Source organism: Homo sapiens, chromosome 7 (genome assembly GCF_000001405.40).
Source record: "Homo sapiens chromosome 7, GRCh38.p14 Primary Assembly".
Taxonomy (NCBI): domain Eukaryota; kingdom Metazoa; phylum Chordata; class Mammalia; order Primates; family Hominidae; genus Homo; species Homo sapiens.
The window spans coordinates 36,542,918-36,567,376 of NC_000007.14; the positions used below are offsets into that span (position 1 = coordinate 36,542,918).

Here is a 24,459-nt window from a genome sequence, read left to right on the forward strand (position 1 = left end):
AATTTGTATGTATTAATATAGAAAGATGGCTAAAAAGTATTAAAGTATTGTTGACTACAACAATACTTTTGGTGCCATGGGGGTAGCCAGTAGGGTGGCAGTTATGGTTGGTGTATGTGCTTCTAAACTATGTCATGGATCGCTAGAGTCTCTTAAGGGGGGAGAGAAAAAGATGTCTAATTTTACAAACCCTCAGGGTATAGAACTGCATGCTAATTTCATGTTTTCCATTGTCATGAAAAAATTACACTATTTTAAAAATAAAAATCTTCCTACCTGATAAAAACCAGCTATGACGATTTGCGACTAGGTTGCCTACCTACTAGAGCAGAAGCGTGGGGAGGGGCTTTGACTTGATTCCCATATGCACAGAAGCAGCACTGAAGAACCTGCCCCAAGTATCTAGGTTCTATATTCACTGTGTGTTTGAAGTGTAACAGCAAGGGTGAAATGAAAGGCAAGTTGGGTGTCTATATCCTTTCTTCTGGCACTGGTAAAGCTGGCAAATACTGCCTATTCACTTTTGCCTTGCCACACTTTTTTTTTTCCTGCTGATACAGCCACGCTTTGGCACAAAGCAATTATGCTGAGCTAATGTTCTCCAACCACATAAGGGCAAGATGAGTTAAGATGGACAAAGTCTCCCCAAATCCACACTGAATAATTTTTTTTTTCGGTTAGAGGCACAGCCCTGATGCTAAACGAAGAATCTGAGCTAATTTGTATTTATGAAAGGGCACCCACAAATTAAGCAAGCATAATCAACATGGCTAATTGCTAAGTGAAATCAAAATATAAGCCTTGGTGTTGCTAATGGAACATTCTCCAGTTATCTTTGTTCCACCTTGTACAACTACATAATTTACTTTTAATTTGCATAGCAAAATCAACCAACTCTTAGCTCAGGTAAGGGCAAGGGAGTCTATGTGATTCATGGGACGATCACCCCTCCCAGATGCCATAGAAGGTGGCTTTTGACTTCTGTCCCTGAAAAGTTTTCTTTTCTTTTTCTTTTTTCTTTCTTTCTTTCTTTTTTTTTTTTTTTTTTGAGATGGAGTCTCACTCTGTTGCCCAGGCTGGAGTGCAGTGGTGCGATCTCGCTCACTGCAACCTCTGCCTCCCGGGTTCAAGTGATTCTCCTGCCCCAGCCTCCCAAGTAGCTAGGACTACAGATGAGCACCACCACACCCAGCTAATTTTTCTATTTTTGGTAGAGACAGGGTTTTACCATGTTGGCCAGGATGGTCTCAATCTCTTGACCTCGTGATCTGCCTGCCTCAGCCTCCCAAAATGCTGGGATTACAGGCATAAGCCACTGCGCCCGGCCCCCTGAAAATTTTTCAATGCCATTTTGATCTGTGTACTTTTTCCCCTCTGGTGATGTTTGGGGGAGACTTTGTGTTAGTATTCTGGAGACCAAAGAACCCTAGTGGTTGAGAACTATCTCCTAGGTCTCTCTGGTGTCTGCCAAAGGACGAATGGGCTGAGCTGAAGGTGTCTAACCCTTTTCAACCCAGGTGTCCCAGGCACCTGCCACCCCGGATTTGTCTGCCGACTCCAGGGTCCCAGCACCCCTTCTCACACACCAGCGAGCTCACCCCAGACACTCAGATGCATAGGTGAGAGATCGAGAGTGCTCAGCTAACAGAGAAGATGTGAAAACCAGCCTGTGGCACAGGGGCCACACTGGGGAAAATAATGAGAGAGAAACTGGTGCTCACTGACATGCTCTCACACATGTCAGAAACAAATGGCCGGGCTGGGAACAGATGAAGAGCCTCACTCCTGAAGGTGGCTCTGAAGCCTGTCCCGCCCTAATGAATTGTGTCTGATCAGGCAAAATAAGCCTGATCATTTCATTACCCTGGCAGGTAAGCCAGCCAGATTTCACCTGGCTGGTGCTAGAGAGAGGTGTCCCTTCCAAGGAAGAAACTGATCAGCCTGTGCAGAAAACCAGCTTCCTGGAACCATAGCTAAAGCCCAGATCACTGTAGTGATCAAGTGCTCACACCTCACTCACAGCTAGCATTTGTGTTTTTGAAACACCCAGGTAAGAGGGTTAGCCCTTTTCTTCATGCCAGCCAGTTGCAATCACATTGTTGGGCTCCCATCCAATCCCCTTGAAGAGAAATCTTTTTTTTTTTTTTAAATAGAGACAGGGTCTCGCTCTATCACCCAGGCTGGAGGGCAGTGGTATGATCACAGCTCACTGCAGGGTTGAACTCCTGGGCTCAAGCTATCCTCCCACTTTAGCCTCCTGAGTAGCTGGGGAGAAGAGGCATCTTGATACAGACTGGGAATGGGATGAGGACTTCCATATTACCCCATGCATAGAGATACATTAAACATCCCTTAAAAGTGGGTGTGGCCTGGAACATGCTGGCTGGTTGGAACTTCCTTATCATTCCCTTTGCTACCCATGTCTCTCACTGAAGAGTCTGGGAGAGAGAATTCCTCTGAGCAGCAGGAGCTCTTTCCATTCCCTTCCCTGCTGGCTTTTCTATCATCTGAATAAATAGCATGGATTGTTTCTCACTAGTCCAGGCTCATTGGGGCCTGCAACCTGTCAGTGCCTCGGCTGGCTTCCTCTTAATTCAGTGCTGGTCAACTGCCCAGGGTGTAACCTGAAGCGTTGGCATTGAAGAAAAACAATGGTTGGGGGCAGATGGGCACAGACACCCTGTGTGGGTGGTTCTGGCTCTCTCCATAAGATGAAAATGTATAATTTATACTTTCTGTGTATACTCCTAAGAATATGATGCTTGTATGAATGCCATCTGTCCCATAATTGTCCACTGTAACAAATGAAACCATATCCATTTATGGGGCTAGTGCTAGATGCTTGTATAATTCTATGGAATTTCCAGCAATTACCATGTTCGTTTCAGGGATGCTGCGCTGGGATGTTGGCAAAGGATTGTCACTGGCCTTTATGATTGGACGTTCTGAGGCCATTCCCATTTCCCACCACTGCCTCCGCCACCCCAAGGTTCTGCTGCTGTAGCTTCCCAACATTTGCCTTGTTTTCAGGAATGTTTCTCCTTCCATATCATTCACATTACATAGCCCTCAAGGGCAGTGATAGGAAAAGCGCAAAGGAAGCTGAGTTAGCCTAAATCAAATTGAGCAGGGTTACAATGAGAAAGCCAGGTTCTCTATGTGATCTTTCTTTTTGACTTCCTGATGCTAAAAGCTATCTTCCAATCGTGACCCTCACTCATTTAACCAGTATTTGTTGAGTAACTGGATGAGTTTAGAGAATTGAGAAGAAAGCACATAAATGTGTTACTTCAGTAAGAGCTAGCATTGTCATAGAAAAAGAAAAGAAAAACGTCAAGCAAATATCCTAAAACTTGTTCCAGGACAAACTTAATTATGTAACTCCTTGCTGCTTGAGCTTTTTATAAAATCCATTTGCTCATTTTGGGAAATCTACTCCACCTTGACGTTCTGGCAGATGGGGAGATATAGTTGCCATCTGTCTTTATTTTTTTAACCCCTCCACAGGACATCACAAAGTGGGCACCACAGGGACATCCCATACTGCCAACTCTGTTCTTTCACCCAAATGCTTGCTGCTTCTCTACCCAGATCTCCAGCAGGGGAGAGGCTGGCACAGGTCTCTGGCTGATGTCTGCCTGCCCTTTAGCTCTTTGGGAAAGGAAAAGTAGGACTGGGCTGGAGGGATCTGGGTAAGCAGGTTTTGCTGGAAAAGTACAGTTTCAGGGATTTTGGCTTTTGGAGCCAGAGTCTCTTTCTGCACATGTTCTTTATTCAGTATAGTCAGTTTGCTCTCTGTTCCTCTCTGGAGGACATGCTCTGGGGGCTGGGGGAGCAATGGCTGGTCTGACCATAGCTTTGTTCTGTTTCGTGATGGCAGCTAGAGCCTGAAGCATGGTGTTTCCTCTTCCATTAGCTCCTTGATGTCAGGGACTGTGGCTTCTTTGTCATTGTATCCATATCCTAGAGCCTGGCACAGTGCTTGGCACATCGTGGTGCTCACTGTATATTTTAAAAAGTGAATGAGTCAAAGAAAGGAAATAAGACAGTGTGGACTATAGACAGGGAATGGAATTTGGTTAGATAACCTGGTTTGGCTCCCAGCTTTGATGCTCAATACCAGAACAGGCAAGTTCCTTATCCTTGCCAAATCAGTTTTCCCATCTGTAAAATGGGACCATCATCCTTGCCTCTTAGGGCTGCTGGGAGGATGGAATGACATAGAGTGATGTACCTCTTGGTTCATGGCAGTCCTTAAAGGGTGTTTGCCATTTACTGGAAAGTCCCCGGTGTCTCTTCACAGACCTTGGTGCCCAGAATGTAGCCTTGGCCAACTTGGGGTTCTGGGGACAGCAGTAAACCAGCCTAAGGGCACCAAGGTGACATCTGGCGTATCAGAGTCTCTGGATCATTGTGGTATCTCCTGCCCTGAACACACTTCACTGATTATGTCTGCATCTCCTTTGCCATCTGAATTTTATCTGTGCGGGCAAACACACTTTAATACTATTGAGTTTTGTTTTCAGCACAGGCTTGGAAAGCATGGCGTATGAAATACAGGAAAGCAAACAGGCGGAGTGAGCAGGATGGCCCACTTCTAGCACAGTTGGGGTGGAGTCCAGCTCTGCCATTAATCAACCCTGTTGCCTCGGGCAAATCGTGAACCTCGTTTGGCCTTACTTTCCTGTTTCCTAAAATAGTGAGTGGGTGGCTATTGCTACTGGGGAGTTGCTCTAAATCCTGTCTCACCATTTTTTTTTTGGCCACAATCACAGGACAGATGGCATTCATACATGCATCATATTCTTAGGGGTGTACACAGATTTTGAGAAACCTCCCCAAATGTTATATAGGAACTAAGGAATTCACCATTTTGAAGTTACTACCAATACCAGCAGTTTAGCAAAATCACCTTCTTGCTATGGGCCATGGGCATAGATAGGATTGCCCATGAGTTATCCGCAGTTTCTTTGCAAATGCTGTAGGTCTGTGCGTCTAAGCTGTCTCTTCCACATGAGGAAGTAAAGTAGATCAGAATATGAGTGAGATCGATGTTCTTATGGGGTAACTGTGCTTCTGCCTTATTTTATTAAAAAAAATCACAATTCCCAATCTTGGGTTCTCAGTGAATAGTAGCACATTTCTTGTGATATAACTGATCAGGACACACCCATTTGTTGTTACATCAGAGTTGATCATTAATGGAGCAGATATTTTCAAAAGAGGCTTTCAGCGTGACAGATTGGTACTGTTGATTTCACACGTGTCTAGGACTTGCTTTTTTTTGAGATAGAGTCTTGCTCCGTCGCTCAGGCTGGAGTGCAGTGGCACGATCTCAGCTCATGGCAACCTCTGTCTCCTGGGTTCAAGTGATTCTGCTGCCTCAGCCTCTCATGTAGCTGAGATTACAGGCACACGCCACCATGCCCAGCTAATTGTTGTATTTTTAGTAGAGACGGGGTTTCACCATGTTGGCCAGGCTGGTCTCCAACTCCTGACCTCAGGTGATCTGCCCACCTCGGCCTCCCAAAGTGCTGGGATTATAGGTGTGAGCCCCTGTGCCCGGCCGTGCTTCTAAGATAGAGAAATTCAGCTGAACAGCAGGCTGCTATAATGGAGTGGAGTTGGTGAGGAGAGGGTGGGGAAGAGCCCAGAGCCAAAGAATCTTGAAAATACTTTTTCTCAATAACTCACCCACTGCAGACATCATTTCCAATCATGGCATATATAACGATGGCGGGATAGTCCAACACCTTGTTTCTAGACAAGCTGAGAAGGCATAGATGGAATCTGAATGTCAGATACTTGGAAACCTAGCTTTGTAGCCAGTGACACAGGCTGGGCCTTTGAAAACAATCTTGGTATGACCACCCTCTTGGCAACTTTTTGCTATTTTTCTTTCATTCTAGTACAGCCAACCACCATTCCCATCTCCCATTTATTCTCTATAATCATTATCCCACTTGCCTATTAGAGAAAGGCCACATAAATGCATAAAATTGAAAAGAATGGATTGAGGTCCTGGGTAAATAGACACAATGCTATCTTCTTGGCATCTTTCACAGCAATTGCATCAATAAGCACAGGCGAGTTATTGGGTTCCTTATGTCCATGTTCTTAGGATAACCTGGCAGCCGTGGACCCATAGTCAACTTTGAAAAGGCAAAGGCTTCTTGAGGCTTCCAGTCAGGACACCTCGAGCCTTGCTTCTGAATTTCAAGCCCCAAATAAGCATAAAAAATGTTTTCTCATTCATAAAGCAGGGATATGACATCATCCTTTTGTCTGTCAGAGCTAAGTTTTACCAACTCTCTATGCATTTTTATCACCCTTCTTTGAGGACATATGCAAATTAATCACTTTCTATGCTCACTGGCCCAAGGAGTGATATCCTTGAGTTTGGATAGTGACTAACAAGCTATTTATGCTCAGTAAAAATGATTATGGGGTAATAACAGAGTTTTCATTCCTTATTCAAAATGAGAAACCAAATTAAAAACAACTTCTTATCTTCTGCTTACCTTTCTATAAATTTCTTCAGGTTTCGGGAAGATGCACCTGAATAATTAAAATTAAGAAAACAATTAAAGTTAGTGAGTTCAATTTCACACTATCAATATGGGAGTCTGATTGACTGAACTCATGAAAGCGGCATTACTGTTCGGGCAAAGGTTGTTCTGACCAACACATTGATGGAAATAATTTTCTTCCAATCAGTTTCTGTAGTGTTTAATCCTGGAACTCTCCTTAAGGGCTTTTCTGTTTATTTAGCAGTATATTAACAAAACCAAAATTTATTTGGATTCATGGGTCTTCAGACATTTCCTAAGCATAAATGAGTAAATCTTCTAGTAGATGTGAGAAAAAAAGTATGTATCTACTACCAAAGAGACAAACTACCGAAAATATTCAAGAATGAGTTGAAGAATTAGAGGAAAACGAAAAGAATGTTACGAGAATTACCCACCTCCTTGGAGAGCCCCATTTAATCTCCTCCTATTATTCTTGCACACTCCCAAGGCTCCCGCAGGCTGTCTGGTCAACACAAGGTTCAGATTGTAGAGTTGATATATTTCAACTCTTGTAATGATATGCATGACCATCCTGCCCCAATCCCCGTTACCACCTGTAACATATCTCTTATATGAAAACCCAGACCGGGCGTGGTGGCTCACACCTGTAATCCCAGCACTTTGGGAAGCTGAGGCGGGCGGATCACTTGAGGTCAGGAGTTCGAGACCAGCCTGGCCAACATGGCGAAACCTTGTCTCTACTAAAAATACAAAAAAATTAGCCAGGCGTGGTGGCGTGCGCCTGTAATCCCAGCTACTCGGGAGGCTGACGCAGGAGAATTGCTTGAACCTGGGAGGCAGAGGTTGCAGTGAGCTGAGATCATGCTGCTGCACTCCAGCCTGGGTGACCAGAGAGAGACTTGTCTCAAAAAAAAAAAAAAGAAAATCATATTTGTTGAATACTTATTTTATTCTAGGTGCTGTTAAACTTTTACAGCTCATTTAAGCTGTGGTACAATTGTGTGAGGTAGCTACTGTTGTATTCCCACTTTTAAATTAGGAAACTGAGGCCCACCTAAGTGGCTTGCCCAAAGCCACACAGGTACTCATTCGAAGAACTGCAGTTCATACCAGTCCCTTCCGTCTGCCATCCTGAGCTCTGGCTTCCTGTGGACAGTGCTCCTCTAGGCTGTAGTTGAGAAAGAGTTAACCCAAACCAGTGTACTGTCTTTTTGTCCCCAAGAGACAGATCTGCTAGAAATAAGCAAGTGATTGTCAGGTGGGTGGTGCAACTCGGTGGACCGAGTTGGAGAAATACCATCCAGTTGCCCCTTTCCATAGGAAGATTCTTCTATAACTTCCAGCCTTGGAAGCTTGGGGATAAGTGCATTTTACCGGAGACCCAGGTATGTTCTTCCAGTTCCACGTGGGAAAAAGGGCAGCGTGTAGCCATGAAGGGTATGCTGGCCTGTGTCTCACTGAAGCTGTGTAGCTATGCAATGATTGCCTCTTTGTCACATGCAGCTAGTGGCAAGCTGTACAGGCAGCACTGATGTTCTCTTGGTTGATTCAGGAAATGTTAGCACATTAAATAAATATTGCTTTATTTCCATTTTATTATGGTAAAATGTACATCTCATTTCTTTCTTTTTTTTTTTTTTTTAGACAGAGTCTTGCTCTGTTGCCCAGGCTGGAGTGCAGTGGTGCGATCTTGGCTTACTGCAATCTCTGCCTCCTGGGTTCAAGTGATTCTCCTGCCTCAGCCTCCTGAGTAGCTGCGATTACAGGCATGTGCCACCATGCTTGGCTAGTTTTTGTATTTTTAGTAGAGATGGGGTTTCACCATGTTGGTCAGGCTGGTGTCGAACTCCTGACCTCATGATCTGCCTGCCTTGGCCTCCCAAAGTGCTGGGATTACAGGTGTGAGCCACCGCATCTGGCCTCATTTCATCTTTCCATCCCTTTTGAGTGTACAATTCAGTGGCATTCAGTTCATTTACATTGTTGTGCAACCATCATCACCACCCATCTCCAGAACTTTTCCATCATTCCAAACCGAAACTCAAAATGCATTAAAGAATAACTTTCCACTAACTCCTCCCTCCAGTCCCTGATAGCCACCCTCCTACTTTCTGCCCTTACGCATTTAACTATTCTAGGCACCTCATGTAGATGGCTCATGTCATACTTGTCCTTTTGGGTCTGGTTTATTTTACTCAGTATAATGTCCTCAAGCTTCATTCATAACACATTTTGTTTATCCATTCATTCTTTGATGGCCATTTGGGTTGTTTCCACCTTTTGGTTGTTGTGAATAACGCTGCTATGGATAGTCCCTGCTTTCAAGTGTTTTGGACGTATGGTATATCTAACTGAAAGTGCTGGGCTGTATTGTAATACTATGTTTAATTTTTTTTAGAAATGACTATATCATCTTCTTTCTTTTTTGTAGTGAGGCAAGGAATCATTATTATTATTTTAATTTCAACTTTTACTTTTGATTCAGGGGATACAGGTGCACTTCTGTTACCTGGGTATATTGTGTAATGCTGAGGTTTGGGGGACAATTGATCCCATCACCCAGGTACTGAGCATAGCAGACCCAATAGGTAATTTTCTTTATTTTTTATTTTAAGTTCCAGGATACATGTGTAGGTTTGTTACATAGGTAAATATGTGCCATGGTGGTTTGCTGCACCTATCAAGCCATCACCTAGGTATTAAGCCCAGCACTCCCACAACAGGCCTCAGCATGTGTTGTTCCCCTTCATGTGTCCAAGTGTTCTCATTGTTCAGCTACCAATCATAAGTGAGAACATATGATGTTTGGTTTTCTGTTCCTGTGTTAGTTTGCTGAGGATAAAGGTTTCCAGCTCCACCCATGTCCCTGCAAAGAACATGATCTCATTCCTTTTTATGGTTGCATAGTGTTCTGTGGTGTATGTGTACCACATTTTCTTTATCCAGTCTATCATCAATGGGTATTTGGGTTGATTTCATCTCTTTGCTATCATGAATAGTGCTGCAATGAACATACACATGCATGTATCTTTATAACAGAATGATTTATATCCCATTGGGTATATAACCATAATGGGATTGCTGGGTCAAATGGTATTTCTGGTTCTAAATCTTTGAGGAAGTGCCACACTGTCCTCCACAATGGTTGAACTAATTTACATTCCCACCAACAGCGTAAAAGCATTCCTATTTCTCCACAACCTCGCCAGCATCTGTTTCTTGACTTTTTAATAATCGCTGCTCTGACTGTCATTTTCAACCCTTGCTCCCCTCCATGCCTCCCCACCTCTAGTAGTCTTGTGCCTATTCTTGCCATCTTTATGTCCATGAGTATCCATTGTTTAGCTCCTACTTGTAAGTGAGAACATATGGTATTTGGTTTTCTGTTTCTACATTAATTCGCTTAGGATAATGGCCTTCAGCTGCCTCCATGTTACTAGCAACGACATGATTTAGTTCTTTTTATGGCTGCATAGAATTCCATGGTGTATATGCACCACATTTTCTTTTTTTTTTTCTTTTTTTATTATTATTATACTTTAAGTTTTAGGGTACATGTGCACAATGTGCAGGTTACTTACATATGTATACATCTGCCATGCTGGTGCGCTGCACCCACTAACTCGTTATCTAGCATTAGGTATATCTCCCAATGCTATCCCTCCCCCCTCCCCCCACCCCACAACTGTCCCCAGAGTGTGATGTTTCCCTTCCTGTGTCCATGTGTTCTCATTGTTCAATTTCCATCTATGAGTGAGAACATGCGGTGTTTGGTTTTTTGTCCTTGCAATAGTTTACTGAGAATGATGATTTCCAATTTCATCCATGTTCCTACAAAGGACATGAATGAATGTCCCTACAAAGGTCATCATTTTTTAGGGCTGCATAGTATTCCATGGTGTATATGTGCCACATTTTCTTAATCCAGTCTATCATTGTTGGACATTTGGGTTGGTTCCAAGTCTTTGCTATTGTGAATAGTGCCGCAATAAACATACGTGTGCATGTGTCTTTATAGCAGCATGATATATAATCCTTTGGATGTATACCCAGTAATGGGATGGCTGGGTCAAATGGTATTTCTAGTTCTAGATCCCTGAGGAATCGCCACGCTGATTTCCACAATGGTTAAACTAGTTTACAGTCCCACCAACAGTGTAAAAGTGTTCCTATTTCTCCACATCTTCTCCAGCACCTGTTGTTTCCTGACTTTTTAATGATCGCCATTCTAACTGGTGTGAGATGGTATCTCATTGTGGTTTTGATTTGCATTTCTCTGATGGTCAGTGATGAGCATTTTTTCATCTGTCTTTTGGCTGCATAAGTGTCTTCTTTTGAGAAGTGTCTGTTCATATCCTTTGCCCACTTTTTCATGGGGTTGTTTGTTTTTTCTTGTAAATTTGTTTGAGTTCATTGTAGATTCTGGATATTAGCCCTTTGTCAGATGAGTAGGTTGGGAAAATTTTCTCCCATTTTGTAGGTTGCCTGTTCACTCTGATGGTAGTTTCTTTTGCTGTGCAGAAGCTCTTTAGTTTAATTAGATCCCATTTGTCAATTTTGGCTTTTGTTGCCATTGCTTTTGGTGTTTTAGACATGAAGTCCTTGCCCATGCCTATGTCATGAATGGTAATGCCTAGGTTTTCATTTAGGGTTTTTATGGTTTTAGGTCTAATGTTTAAGTCTTTAATCCATCTTGAATTAATTTTTGTATAAGGTGTAAGGAAGGGATCCAGTTTCAGCTTTCTGCATATGGCTAGCCAGTTTTCCCAGCACCATTTATTAAATAGGGAGTCCTTTCCCCATTGCTTGTTTTTCTCAGGTTTGTCAAAGATCAGATAGTTGTAGATATGCGGTGTTATTTCTGAAGGCTCTGTTCTGTTCCATTGATCTATATCTCTGTTTTGGTACCAGTACCATGCTGTTTTGGTTACTGTAGCCTTGTAGTATAGTTTGAAGTCAGGTAGCATGATGCCTCCAGCTTTGTTCTTTTGGCTTAGGTTTGACTTGGTGATGTGGGCTCTTTTTTGGTTCCATATGAACTTTAAAGTAGTTTTTTCCAATTCTGTGAAGAAAGTCATTGGTAGCTTGATGGCGATGGCATTGAATCTACAAATTGCCTTGGGCAGTATGGCCATTTTCACAATATTGATTCTTCCTACCCATGAGCATGGAATGTTCTTCCATTTGTTTGTATCCTCTTTTATTTCATTGAGCAGTGGTTTGTAGTTCTCCTTGAAGAGGTCCTTCACGTCCCTTGTAAGTTGGATTCCTAAGTATTTTATTCTCTTTGAAGCAATTGTGAATGGGAGTTCACTCATGATTTGGCTCTCTGTTTGTCTGTTATTGGTGTATAAGAATGCTTGTGATTTTTGTACATTGATTTTGTATGCTGAAACTTTGCTGAAGTTGCTTATCAGCTTAAGGAGATTTTGGGCTGAGACAATGGGGTTTTCTAGATATACAATCATGTCGTCTGCAAACAGGGACAATTTGACTTCCTCTTTTCCTAATTGAATACCCTTTATTTCCTTCTCCTGCCTAATTGCCCTGGCCAGAACTTCCAACACTATGTTGAATAGGAGTGGTGAGAGAGGGCATCCCTGTCTTGTGCCAGTTTTCAAAGGGAATGCTTCCAGTTTTTGCCCATTCAGTATGATATTGGCTGTGGGTTTGTCATAGATAGCTCTTATTATTTTGAGATACATCCCATCAATACCTAATTTATTGAGAGTTTTTAGCATGAAGGGTTGTTGAATTTTGTCAAAGGCCTTTTCTGCATCTATTGAGATAATCATGTGGTTTTTGTCTTTGGTTCTGTTTATATGCTGGATTACATTTATTGACTTGCGCATACTGAACCAGCCTTGCATCCCAGGGATGAAGCCCACTTGATCATGGTGGATAAGCTTTTTGATGTGCTGCTGGATTCGGTCTGCCAGTATTTTATTGAGGATTTTTGCATCAATGTTCATCAAGGATATTGGTCTAAAATTCTCTTTTTTGGTTGTGTTTCTGCCTGGCTTTGGTAGCAGGATGATGCTGGCCTCATAAAATGAGTTAGGGAGGATTCCCTCTTTTTCTATTGATTGGAATAGTTTCAGAAGGAATGGTACCAGTTCCTCCTTGTACCTCTGGTAGAATTCGGCTGTGAATCCATCTGGTCCTGGACTCTTTTTGGTTGGTAAGCTATTGATTATTGCCACAATTTCAGCTCCTGTTATTGGTCTATTCAGAGATTCAACTTCTTCCTGGTTTAGTCTTGGGAGAGCGTATGTGTCAAGGAATTTATCCATTTCTTCTAGATTTTCTAGTTTATTTGCGTAGAGGTGTTTGTAGTAATCTCTGATGGTAGTTTGTATTTCTGTGGGATCGGTGGTGATATCCCCTTTATCGTTTTTTATTGCGTCTATTTGATTCTTCTCTCTTTTTTCCTTATTAGTCTTGCTAGCGGTCTATCAATTTTGTTGATCCTTTCAAAAACCAGCTCCTGGATTCATTGATTTTTTGAAGGGTTTTTTGTGTCTCTATTTCCTTCAGTTCTGCTCTGATTTTAGTTATTTCTTGCCTTCTGCTAGCTTTTGAATGTGTTTGCTCTTGTTTTTCTAGTTCTTTTAATTGTGATGTTAGGGTGTCAATTTTGGATCTTTCCTGCTTTCTCTTGTGGACATTTAGTGCTATAAATTTCCCTCTACACACTGCTTTTAATGTGTCCCAGAGATTCTGGTATGTTGTGTCTTTGTTCTCGTTGGTTTCAAAGAACATCTTTATTTCTGCCTTCATTTCGTTATGTACCCAGTAGTCATTCAGAAGCAGGTTGTTCAGTTTCCATGTAGTTGAGCGGTTTTGAGTGAGTTTCTTAATCCTGAGTTCTGGTTTGTTTGCACTGTGGTCTGAGAGACAGTTTGTTATAATTTCTGTTCTTTTCCATTTGCTGAGGAGAGCTTTACTTCCAACTATGTGGTCAATTTTGGAATAGGTGTGGTGTGGTGATGAAAAAAATGTATATTCTGCTGATTTGGGGTGGAGAGTTCTGTAGATGTTTATTAGGTCCACTTGGTGCAGAGCTGAGTTCAATTCCTGGGTATCCTTGTTAACTTTCTGTCTCATTGATCTGTCTAATGTTGACAGTGGGGTGTTAAAGTCTCCCATTATTATTGTGTGGGAGTCTAAGTCTCTTTGTAGGTCACTCAGGACTTGCTTTATGAATCTGGGTGCTCCTGTATTGGGTGCATATATATTTAGGATAGTTAGCTCTTCTTGTTGAATTGATCCCTTTACCATTATGTAATGGCCTTCTTTGTCTCTTTTGATCTTTGTTGGTTTAAAGTCTGTTTTATCAGAGACTAGGATTGCAACCCCTGCCTTTTTTTGTTTTCCATTTGCTTGGTAGATCTTCCTCCATCCTTTTATTTTGAGCCTATGTGTGTCTCTGCACGTGAGATGGGTTTCCTGAATACAGCACACTGATGGCTCTTGACTCTTTATCCAATTTGCCAGTCTGTGTCTTTTAATTGGAGCATTTAGTCCATTTACATTTAAAGTTAATATTGTTATGTGTGAATTTGATCCTGTCATTATGATATTAGCTGGTTATTTTGCTCGTTAGTTGATGCAGTTTCTTCCTAGTCTCAATGGTCTTTACATTTTGGCATGATTTTGCAGCAGCTGGTACCAGTTGTGCCTTTCCATGTTTAGTGCTTCTTTCAGGAGCTCTTTTAGGGCAGGCCTGGTGGTGACAAAATCTCTCAGCATTTGCTTATCTGTAAAGGATTTTATTTCTCCTTCACTTATGAAGCTTAGTTTGGCTGGATATGAAATTCTGGGTTGAAAATTCTTTTCTTTAAGAATGTTGAATATTGGCCCCCACTCTCCTCTGGCTTGTAGAGTTTCTGCTGAGAGATCAGCTGTTAGTCTGATGTGCTTCTCTTTGTGGGTAACCCGACCTTTCTCTCTGGCTGCCCTTAACATTTTTTCCTTCATTTCAACTTTGGTGAATCTGACAATTATGTGTCTTGGAGTTGCTCTTCTCGAGGAGTATCTTTGTGGTGTTCTCTGTATTTCCTGAATCTGAATGTTGGCCTGCCTTGCTAGATTGGGGAAGTTCTCCTGGATAATATCCTGTAGAGTGTTTTCCAACTTGGTTCCATTCTCCCTGTCACTTTCAGGTACACCAATCAGACGTAGATTTGGTCTTTTCACATAGTCCCATATTTCTTGGAGGCTTTGTTCGTTTCTTTTTATTCTTTTTTCTCTAAACTTCCCTTCTTGCTTCATTTCATTCATTTCATCTTCCATCGCTGATACCCTTTCTTCCAGTTGATTGCATCGGCTCCTGAGGCTTCTGCATTCTTCACGTAGTTCTCGAGCCTTGGCTTTCAGCTCCATCAGCTCCTTTAAGCACTTCTCTGTATTGGTTATTCTAGTTATACATTCGTCTAAATTTTTTTCAAAGTTTTCAACTTCTTTGCCTTTGGTTTGAATTTCCTCCTGTAGCTCGGAGTAGTTTGATCGTCTGAAGCCTTCTTCTCTCAACTCGTCAAAGTCATTCTCCGTCCAGCTTTGTTCCATTGCTGGTGAGGAGCTGTGTTCCTTTGGAGGAGGAGAGGCGCTCTGCTTTTTAGAGTTTCCAGTATTTCTGCTCTGTTTTTTCCCCATCTTTGTGGTTTTATCTACTTTTGGTCTTTGATGATGGTGATGTACAGATGGGTTTTTGGTGTGGATGTCCTTTCTGTTTGTTAGTTTTCCTTCTAACAGACAGGACCCTCAGCTGCAGGTCTGTTGGAGTTTGCTAGAAGTCCACTCCAGACCCTGTTTGCCTGGGTATCAGCAGCAGTGTCTGCAGAACAGTGGATTTTCGTGAATGGTGGATGCTGCTGTCTGATCGTTCCTCTGGAAGTTTTGTCTCAGAGGAGTACCCGGCCGTGTGAGGTGTCAGTTTGCCCCTACTGGGGGGTGCCTCCCAGTTAGGCTGCTCGGGGGTCAGGGGTCAGGGACCTACTTGAGGAGGCAGTCTGCCTGTTCTCAGATCTCCAGCTGTGTGCTGGGAGAACCACTGCTCTCTTCAAAGACATTTAAGTCTGCAGAGGTTACTGCTGTCTTTTTGTTTGTCTGTGCCCTGCCCCCAGAGGTGGAGCCTACAGAGGCCAGCAGGCCTCCTTGAGCTGTGGTGGGCTCCACCCAGTTCGAGCTTCCCAGCTGCTTTGTTTACCTAAGCAAGCCTGGGCAATGGCGGGAGCCCCTCCCCCAGCCTCGCTGCTGCCTTGCAGTTTGATCTCAGACTGCTGTGCTAGCAATCAGCGAGACTCCGTGGGCATAGGACCCTCTGAGCCATGTGCAGGATATAATCTCCTGGTGCGCTGTTTCCTAAGCCCGTTGGAAAAGCACAGTATTGGGGTGGGAGTGACCCGATTTTCCAGGTGCCGTCTGTCACCCACTTCCTTGACCAGGAAAGGGAACTCCTTGACCCCTTGCACTTCCCGAGTGAGGCAATGCCTCGCCCTGTTTTGGCTCGCACATGGTGCGCTGCACCCACTGTCCTGCACCCACTGTCTGGCACTCCCTAGTGAGATGAACCCGGTACCTCAGATGGAAATGCAGAAATCACCCATCTTCTGTGTCACTCACGCTGGCAGCTGTAGACCAGAGCTGTTCCTATTCAGCCATCTTGGCTCCTCCCACATTTTCTTTATTCAATCCACTGTTATGGGCATCTAGGTTGATTCCATGTCTTTGCTATTGTGAATAGTGTTGTGATGAATATATGGGTACATATGCCCTTTTGGTAGAATAATTGATTTTCTTTTGGGTATATACCCAGTAACAGGATTGCTGGGTCAAATGGTAGTTCTCAAAGTTCTTTGAGAAATCTCCAAACTGCTTTCCACAGTGGCTGAACTAATTTACATTCCCACCAGTAGCGTATAACCATTCCTTTTTCTCTGCAGCCATGTCAGCATCTGTTGTTTTCTGACTTTGTAATAATAGCCATTCTGACTGGTGTGAGATGGTATTTCATTGTGGTTTTGATTTGCATTTCTCTGATGATTAGTGATGTTGTGTCTTTTTTCATATGCTTGTTGGCTGCTTATATGTCTTCTTTTGAGAAGTATCTGTTCATGTCTTTTGCCCATTTTTTTAATGGGGTTATTTGGTTTTTGCTTGTTCAATTGTTTAAATTCCTTACAGATTCTGGATATTCGACCTTGATTGGATGCATCATTTGTGAATATTTTGTAGGTTGTCTGTTTACTCTGTTGATGGTTTCTTTTGCTGTCCAGAAGCTCTTTAATTAGGTCCCACTTGTCAATTTTTGTTTTTGTTGCAATTGCTTTTGAAGACTTAGTCATAATTTTTTTCCCAAGACCAATGTCTAGAATGGTGTTTCCTAGGTTTTCTTCTAGGATTCTTATACTTAAGGTCTTACATTTAATTCTTTAATCCATTTGAGTCAATTTTTGTATATGGTGAAAGATAGGGGTCCAATTTTATTCTTCTGCCTATGGCTTGTCAGCTATCCCCACATCATTTATTGAACAGGGAGTCCTTTCCCTATTGCCAATTTTTGTTGACTTTGTTGATGGTCAGATGGCTGTAGGTGTGCTATCTTATTTCTGGACTCTCTGTTCTGTACCATTGGTCTGTGTGTCTGTTTTTGAACCAGTACCATGCGTTTTGGTCACTGTAGCCTTATAGTATAGTTTGAAGTTGGGTAATGTGATGCCTCTAGCTTTATTCTTTTTGCTTAGGATTGCTTTGTCTATTCAGGCTTTTTTTTGGTTCCATATGAATTTTAGAATAGTTTTTTTATAATTCTGTGAAAAATGATATTGGTAGCTTGATAAAAATAGCACTGGATCTATAGATTGCTTTGGGCAGTATGGCCATTTTAACAATATTGATTCTTCCAATTCAGGAACATGGAATATTTTTCCATTTGTTTTGTGTCATCCATGATTTCTTCCAGCAACGTTTTTTAGTTCTCCTTGTAGAGGTCTTTGACCTCCTTGGTTAGATGTATTCCTAGGTATTTTATTTTCTTGGGATATTGTAAATGGGATTATGTTCCTGATTTGGCTCTCAGCTTGAATGTTATAGATATATAGACATTTTACTGATTTTTGTACATTGATTTTGTACCCTGAAACTTTGCTAAAGTTGTTTATCAGTTCCAGGAGCCTTTTAGTGTAGTCTTTAGGGTTTTCTAGGTGTAAGAATCATATTGTAGTGAAGAGAGACGGTTTGACTTCTTCTTTTCTTATTTGGATGCTTTTTATATCTTTCTTTTGCCTGATTGCTCTGGCAAGGACTTCCAGTACTATGCTGAACAGGAGTGATGAGAGTGGGCATCCTCTTCTTGCTTTACTTCTCAAGGGAAATGCTGCCTAGGAATTATTAAAATGCACATAGCCATATAAATTAGGAGTAATCAGTCCATTTCTGTGTGCATTTTGTTCCTTTACCTACTCCATCCATTTCTTGAGCACTGGCATGTGCCTGCCATAAAGCAGGGATTAACAGATGAGGTGGACACAGCCTCAATACTTTCTGAATAGTATCTATGGGGGTAGACACATAATTGAGCACTGGGAACTTTTTTTTTTTTTTTTTTTTGAGACGGAGTCTCACTCTATCCCCCAGGCTGGAGTGCAGTGGCGGATCTTGGCTCACTGCAACCTCCACCTCCCAGGTTCAAGGGATTCTCCTGCCTCAGCCTCCCATGTAGCTGGGATTACCAGCACCCACCAGCATGCCCAGCTAATTTTTGTATTTTTAGTAGAGATGGGGTTTCATCATGTTTCCCAGGCTGGTCTTGAGCTCCTAACCTCAGGTAATCCACCTGCCTTCGCCTCCCAAAGTGCTGGGATTACAGGCATGAGCCACCATGCCCAGATGACAATTTTAAGAGATTAGTGAAAATCCAACCCCAATGCTCGAAAACAGGAAAAGCCAATTGATTTGAGGCCTATTATCTCTATTCAGGGAAGGTGCCAGATTTCATAACACTGAGTCCTCAGTACAAGGGCTCCAGTCTTTCTGGGAGTGAGTGCTCCCTGTTGTCCTCCAGAGGACAGAAGAGAAGGAGCACAGCCCCCATGCGCTGTGTTGATCTTGCGGTGGCACACGCATCGGCTGGGCCCTTCATTCAGTTCCAGTCCGGTGACTCCTGGCTTCTTATTTTCAGTGAGATAATAGATCAGGAGATGTTTAATTCTCATTCTTTTATTTTTCTCTTAATGAGAAATGAAAACTAATGAAAGCTCAAGCCATAAGTGGGGAAAAAATAATTAAAGGACCAGGTCAGAGCAACACTTGTCTTCATTATCTAGGGTACAGCTGGGAATCTGAGGTGCAGAACACCCACAGAGCTTGAGGAAAATGAAAATGAAAGCCTGTTGTGACATGCCACATGAGCATCCCTTCCTGCGCTCACACCCCTGGGTCCCTTTGCCACTCAGGACAAGGATGCGAGACCAACGGCAATTGGCTGTGAAAAATTTTTGAAAAGCAATCACAAACAGCTACCCAAGGAGTGAGGACTTGTCTGTTCTTCTTTACCCAAATGTCTATTTTTTATAGTAGGTGTCCATACTATGAGCCTAGAATTCTCTTTGCTCCAAAGTTCTTGCGCCTTCCACTATTTCTATTTCCCTTCAGAAACCTGTTTTTTGAGATTATGTAATTAGTTTATGCAATTCTCATGTCACTGTTTCTTGTTAATTTCCTTTTGCTGTTGTTTTGTTATCCTTTTGCCAGACTCATCAACATTTTGTGTCTCTCTCCTTCCCCATCTCTATTGTCTTTCTTCCCCTGTACATAGACTTCTCCCCAGCTGCTTGCTGTTGCTGCTGCTGTTATCATTAGAGAAAATACGGACTGCAGCAAGAAAAGATAGATAGCTCCTAGCCTGTGGGATGTGGCAAAGTAAGGCAAACATTTCAAGAACTGGCACTTTACCCTTAAGAAGTCTATATTCTGATCCCTGCGATCATAGTTTGGAGAAATGAAAGAGGTTTGACCTTGGAATAGGAACATTTTATTTATTTGTCAAGATGGTCCAAATGGAGAGCCCACCTGTCTCCAATGACGAGAAGAAAAGGGTCCACACAGGCCTTTAAGTCTGATTCATCCAGTTTCTTTTAAATAAGGTGCAGGGCATTGAAAGAAGAGAAAGGTTTCACATAATCCCAGCATTGGTTATCCCTCCATAAATGCATATTCAGAAACACCTTTACGGAGTTGGTTTCCAAAGATCCTCCCTTCCCATGATCTCTCTAGTACTTTTTGGTTCCCTGGACTCCGCAATTTGGTCCTGTAGCCAGAAAGTCGGGGCTTTAGTGCTCCACTCTGCTGTGCTCTTCCTAAAAATTCACTCATGGTAACCCCAAGTGATGGGAGAACAGAATAAGAAAAAAGGCAGGCCAGACGCGGTGGCTCACACCTGTAATCCCAGCACTTTGGGAGGCCAAGGCAGGCAGATCATGAAGTCAGGAGTTCGAGACCAACCTGGCCAACATGGTGAAACCCCATCTCTACTAAAAATACAAAAATTAGCCAGGCGTGGTGGCAGGCGCCTGTAATCCCAGCTACTCAGGAGGCTGAGGCAGGAGAATCACTTGAAACCAGAAGGCGGAGGTTGCAGTGAGCCGAGATCGTGCCACTGCACTCCAGCCTGTGCAACAAGAATGAAACTCCGTCTCAAAAAAAAAAAAAAAAAAAAAAAAAAAAAAAAAAAAAGGCAATGGGAGTTTGCCCCACCTTCCTGGGACCACAACTATTCCAGTGAAGAGGCAGTCTCCCTCAAACCTCTTTGGAATTCTAGGCACCTGTATGTCCCCACTATTTCTGCTGTCACTGCCAGGAGACCACTTTCCCAGATCTAGAGTGAGAACTAGAGGGTTTCTTCTTGAAGTGACCTGTCTGTGCTGCTTCTGGGTTTTGGGCTGCCTTGAGTCCAGGTTGGAAGATACCAGAGGATAGCATAATGCTAACCTCACTGCTCATTTGGTGGTGGCCCTAATTCTGATTTTCTTCTTCACTTGGCCTGCTATTTAATTTCCAGAGTGCTCCAGCTATTCCATACACTCTGTCCAGGTTTTACAGCTATTTTCAGTGGGAGAGACAGGGTGGGGTATGTTTACTCCATTGTACTTGAAACCAGAAACTGGAATCTGTTAAAAAGAGTATGAAAAGTTCTTGGAAAATACTGTATCATACACTGTCCTAAAATACATCTATTAACATTTTTGAACACGAGTTAGAATTTTAAATATTGCAGATTTTGCTTTTATTTTTATGATTTAGAGGTAGTTTCAGGAGAATGATTTGTACAATCCATTAAAAAAATCCATCATGAGAAATTTAAATTCTTTTTCTTCTCTAAAAATATTTGCTTGCAATAGGCAGAAACATTGAGACTACTCTATTGACCTTGAGCTCAAAATAGTAGGCACTTAACAATTGTTTGTTGTGGCAGTTTCTACTACTGTAAATGCTTTCAGATTCACAAGTGTGGCTCTGAATTTCAGCTAAATGATTCTCTAAAACATAGATTTTTAAAAGGATGCATAATAATAGCCTTCCCACAGTAGCTGTGATCTGCCTCCAGTTTCAAAGCCTGACATAGCCCCACAAATATCTTTCAGCCATGTCCAACTTCTCTCTCCCTCTTCCTCAAAGATGTTTACCCCTCAGAGCCTCCCAGCTCTGAGTCACCATCTCCCTGTCCTTTTTGAATTCCTATTTATTTCTTCAGGGCTCTCAGCTCAAATTTTAACTCGTATGTAAAGTCTTCCCCTACTTCTACAGACAGAGTTAAGTGCTTCTTATGTCCAGAGGCCTCAACTTGCCTTTATTTCACTGCCCTTTCACCAGAAACACAATGATTCCCTTTTTGTCTTTGTTTCCCATTTGATGATGATCTCCTTGAAGGTGGGGGCTTTGTCTTTCTCATCTTTCTATTTCTAGCACCTATTGCAATATTGGAGAGAAAGGAGAGGAGGGGAGTGGTGGGGCAAAGTCAAGTGGAAAATGAGCAGAAGGAAAGTGAAAGAGAAGACCAGAGGTAAAAGCCTCATCCCAGGATGCTTTGGAACTGATAGAAATGACAGCTCACTCAAGCTATCAGTACAAGCAGCAGATAACTTTCCCTGATGTCCTTTATCTCAAGCCCTAAACAAAAGACATCTGTTTAAAGGACATCCCGCTAGGACTTCAGGAGCCCTGGCCATTGCCAATGACATTAAAAACATGTAAGGCATTTGCTTCTGAATTTTCCCTCTGTAGTTGTGCTGTTTCAAGCAGTGCAGGATAAAAATCTTGACAAAACAGATGCATCAAAAGCGCACACTCTTCACATTACAATCACTGTCATGCCTTGCTCCTATCTAGATGGTTTGCATGAAACAGTAAGCCAGGAAGAGTTGCATGAGTAAGTCCTAAGAAATAGTCCCATTTGAATCAGAATGTCTCCATTATTTAACGAACCTTTAAATTTCAAAACCTTGAAAGTATTAAAAATGGGAATAATAAATAATAAATACATGAGTAATAACAGAGTGATTTCTAAATGAGATATGTCATATTGAATTCTTTCTCTTTTAAAAGTTTCTAGTGATTAAACACTGTATCTTGGAGATGCATTTTGTCCTTAGGAGAAACAGCAGGTTTTGATGCTCTAGGCATTGAGTATATCTATAAGCATTTGCCTTTTTATATGAAGCATCTCAAAAATTGGTACCAGAATCTGTCTCTGTCACCTCTGTCATCTGTTGCTGTCACCACTCTGTATCAAGGCTCTGCAAACAGAAATGTCCTCATTGTTTGTTATACATAATTTTTGTCATTATCCTCTCAAGGTTTGGGTTGAAACCAAATACTCAACCCAGTAGTTGGGCTCACCAGATATTTACTGAGTGCCTGCTTGAGCTTGACAAAGGTGACTTCTTTGCTTCTTTCCAATACTCTTTTCTGCGGCTTTTAAAAAATTACTTCAAAATTTTCATTTTGAAATGATTTCCAAAAAGTTGCAAAAGTAGAACAAAGGATTTATACATGCCTTCACCCAGATTATCTATATGTAAACATCTCTTTTTTTTTTTTTTGAGACAGGGTCTCACTTTGTGGCTCAGGTTGGGGTGCAGTGGCGCAAACACGGCTCACTGTAGGCTCTACCTCTGGGGCTCAAGTGATCCTTCCACCTTAGCCTCCTGAGTAGCTGGGACTATAGGTGTGTGCCACCACAACTGGCTGATTTTTTTTTTTTATTTAAATTTTTAGTAGAGAGGGATCTCGCTATGCGCAGACTTGTCTTGAACTCCTGAGAACATGCAATCCTACCTGCTTCGGCTTCCCAATGTGTTGAGATTACAGGCATGAGACACCGTGCCTGGCCAAATGTGAACATCTTCAATAATTATAGAACAATGAGGACAATCATGAAATCCACAATAACACTATTGCCTGATCTATAGACCTTATTTAAATTTCACTAACTGTTCCACTAATGACCGTGTTCTGGGCTAGGATCTAATTTAGGATCACAAACTGTATTCAGCTATCACATCTCCTTAGTATCCTTTTAATCTAAACTGATTGCTTAGTCTTTCTTTGTCTTTCATGACCTTGACGCTTTTAAGTAATACTGGCTTTTTTTTTTTTTTTTGGTAAAATGTTCCTCAATTTTTGTTTGTATTATGTTTCCTCATGATTACATTCAGGTTATGCAATTTTTGGCAAGAATACAATAGCAGAAGCTCAGTTAGCTAGTTAAAGGTACAAAACCTATTTTGTTCCATAATAGAGATCATGGTGGGGTGGGGACTGTGTTATAAAAATAAGTCCTTCTACGTGTAACTGAATTCAGCTAAGCCTGGATTAATACTCATTTATAGTTTGTCTCTTCATCCTTAACTTTTTTTTTTTTTTTTTTGCCTCTATCTCTTTTCAAGAAGGCCACTTTTGATAATGAGGACTGGCAGAGGGCTGGATTCCGTGGGTTCAGGTATTTAATTCTGACATTCATCATACTCCAGAACAGGTGTTTGCTGTCTTGTCAGAGTAGGTAGCTAGTCAGACATGAGTGGGGCAGGTGAGGCCTCCTGCCCCCAGGAATGTCAGGTGACCATCTCTCTAAAATAATAATTGGTCACAGCCAGCACCAGGGAAAAGCCAGCTCCCAATAGATAGAAAACACCTGAAGCTGGTGATTAGCAGCTTCCCCACAGGATCTCAGGAGTCGGGTGAGTGGACTCAAGCATGCACACTGAGAGGCAACATGGTGGCATGTAACTGATATATGACCTTCCTCCAGGACCACTTGACTAGTAAGGGAAAAATGCCTCACGTAAGCATGCGTGTAACTTCAGTGAACACACTGCGCAGAGCCCCCTCTCAAGGGCTGGCAGACCACTGTGCATACGTGCAGTGATCTCGGCTCACTGCAACTTCTGCCTCCCGGGTTCCAGCGATTCTCCTGCTAAGTCTCTGAATAGCTGGGATTACAGGCAAGCACCACCAAGCCTGTCTAATTTTTTGTATTTTTTTAGTACAGACGGGGCTTCACCATGTTGGCCAGGGTGGTCTTGAACTCCTGATCTCAAGTGATGCACCCACCTCGGCCTCTCAAAGTGCTGGAATTACAGGCGTGAGCCACCGTGCCTGGCCACTGCTCTAAAACTTAAATAAATTTTCACTCCTGCTCTAAAACGTGTCTCTTTCTCTCCATCTGCCCAATGCCCCCAATCGAATTCTTTCTTCTGAGGAGGCAAGAATTGAGGTTGCTGCAGGCTCATATGGATTCCCTGCTGCTAACAGTCTGAGGCAGCAGAATAGTGATTTTAGAAGCCAGAACCCAAATAGCGGACAGTATGGCATGGGTGAGAGCAAGGCCTTTAGTATGAGACAGACAGGGCTTAAGGTATACCCCTGA

General features: G+C 42.3%; 1 protein-coding gene across 16 annotated transcripts in view, besides 1 other annotated feature; it reads right to left on the reverse strand.

The window, feature by feature from the left end:
• The window catches only part of AOAH (acyloxyacyl hydrolase), a 211,554-nt gene that overhangs the window by 29,977 nt on the left and 157,118 nt on the right, over window positions 1–24,459 (reverse strand). For 13 of the 16 annotated variants that reach the window (NM_001177507.2, XM_011515334.3, NM_001637.4 and 10 more), the window contains 2 exons: window positions 6,522–6,558; window positions 5,695–5,769 (listed from right to left, as the gene is read on the reverse strand). In NM_001177507.2, the coding sequence (NP_001170978.1) occupies window positions 5,695–5,769; window positions 6,522–6,558 (112 nt within the window). The remainder of the gene's footprint in view (window positions 1–5,694; window positions 5,770–6,521; window positions 6,559–24,459) is intronic. The other 3 variants (XM_017012102.3, XM_011515333.3, XM_017012104.1) reach the window with 1 other exon arrangement.
• Window positions 6,065–6,234: an enhancer, noted in NCBI's record as "experimental_98398 CRE fragment used in MPRA reporter constructs". NCBI's record gives its function as "activates a minimal promoter by MPRAs in K562 erythroleukemia cells, with activity observed for both the introgressed and non-introgressed 7:36588673 variant alleles {active_cell/tissue: K562}" and the evidence as "EXISTENCE:reporter gene assay evidence [ECO:0000049][PMID:34662402]".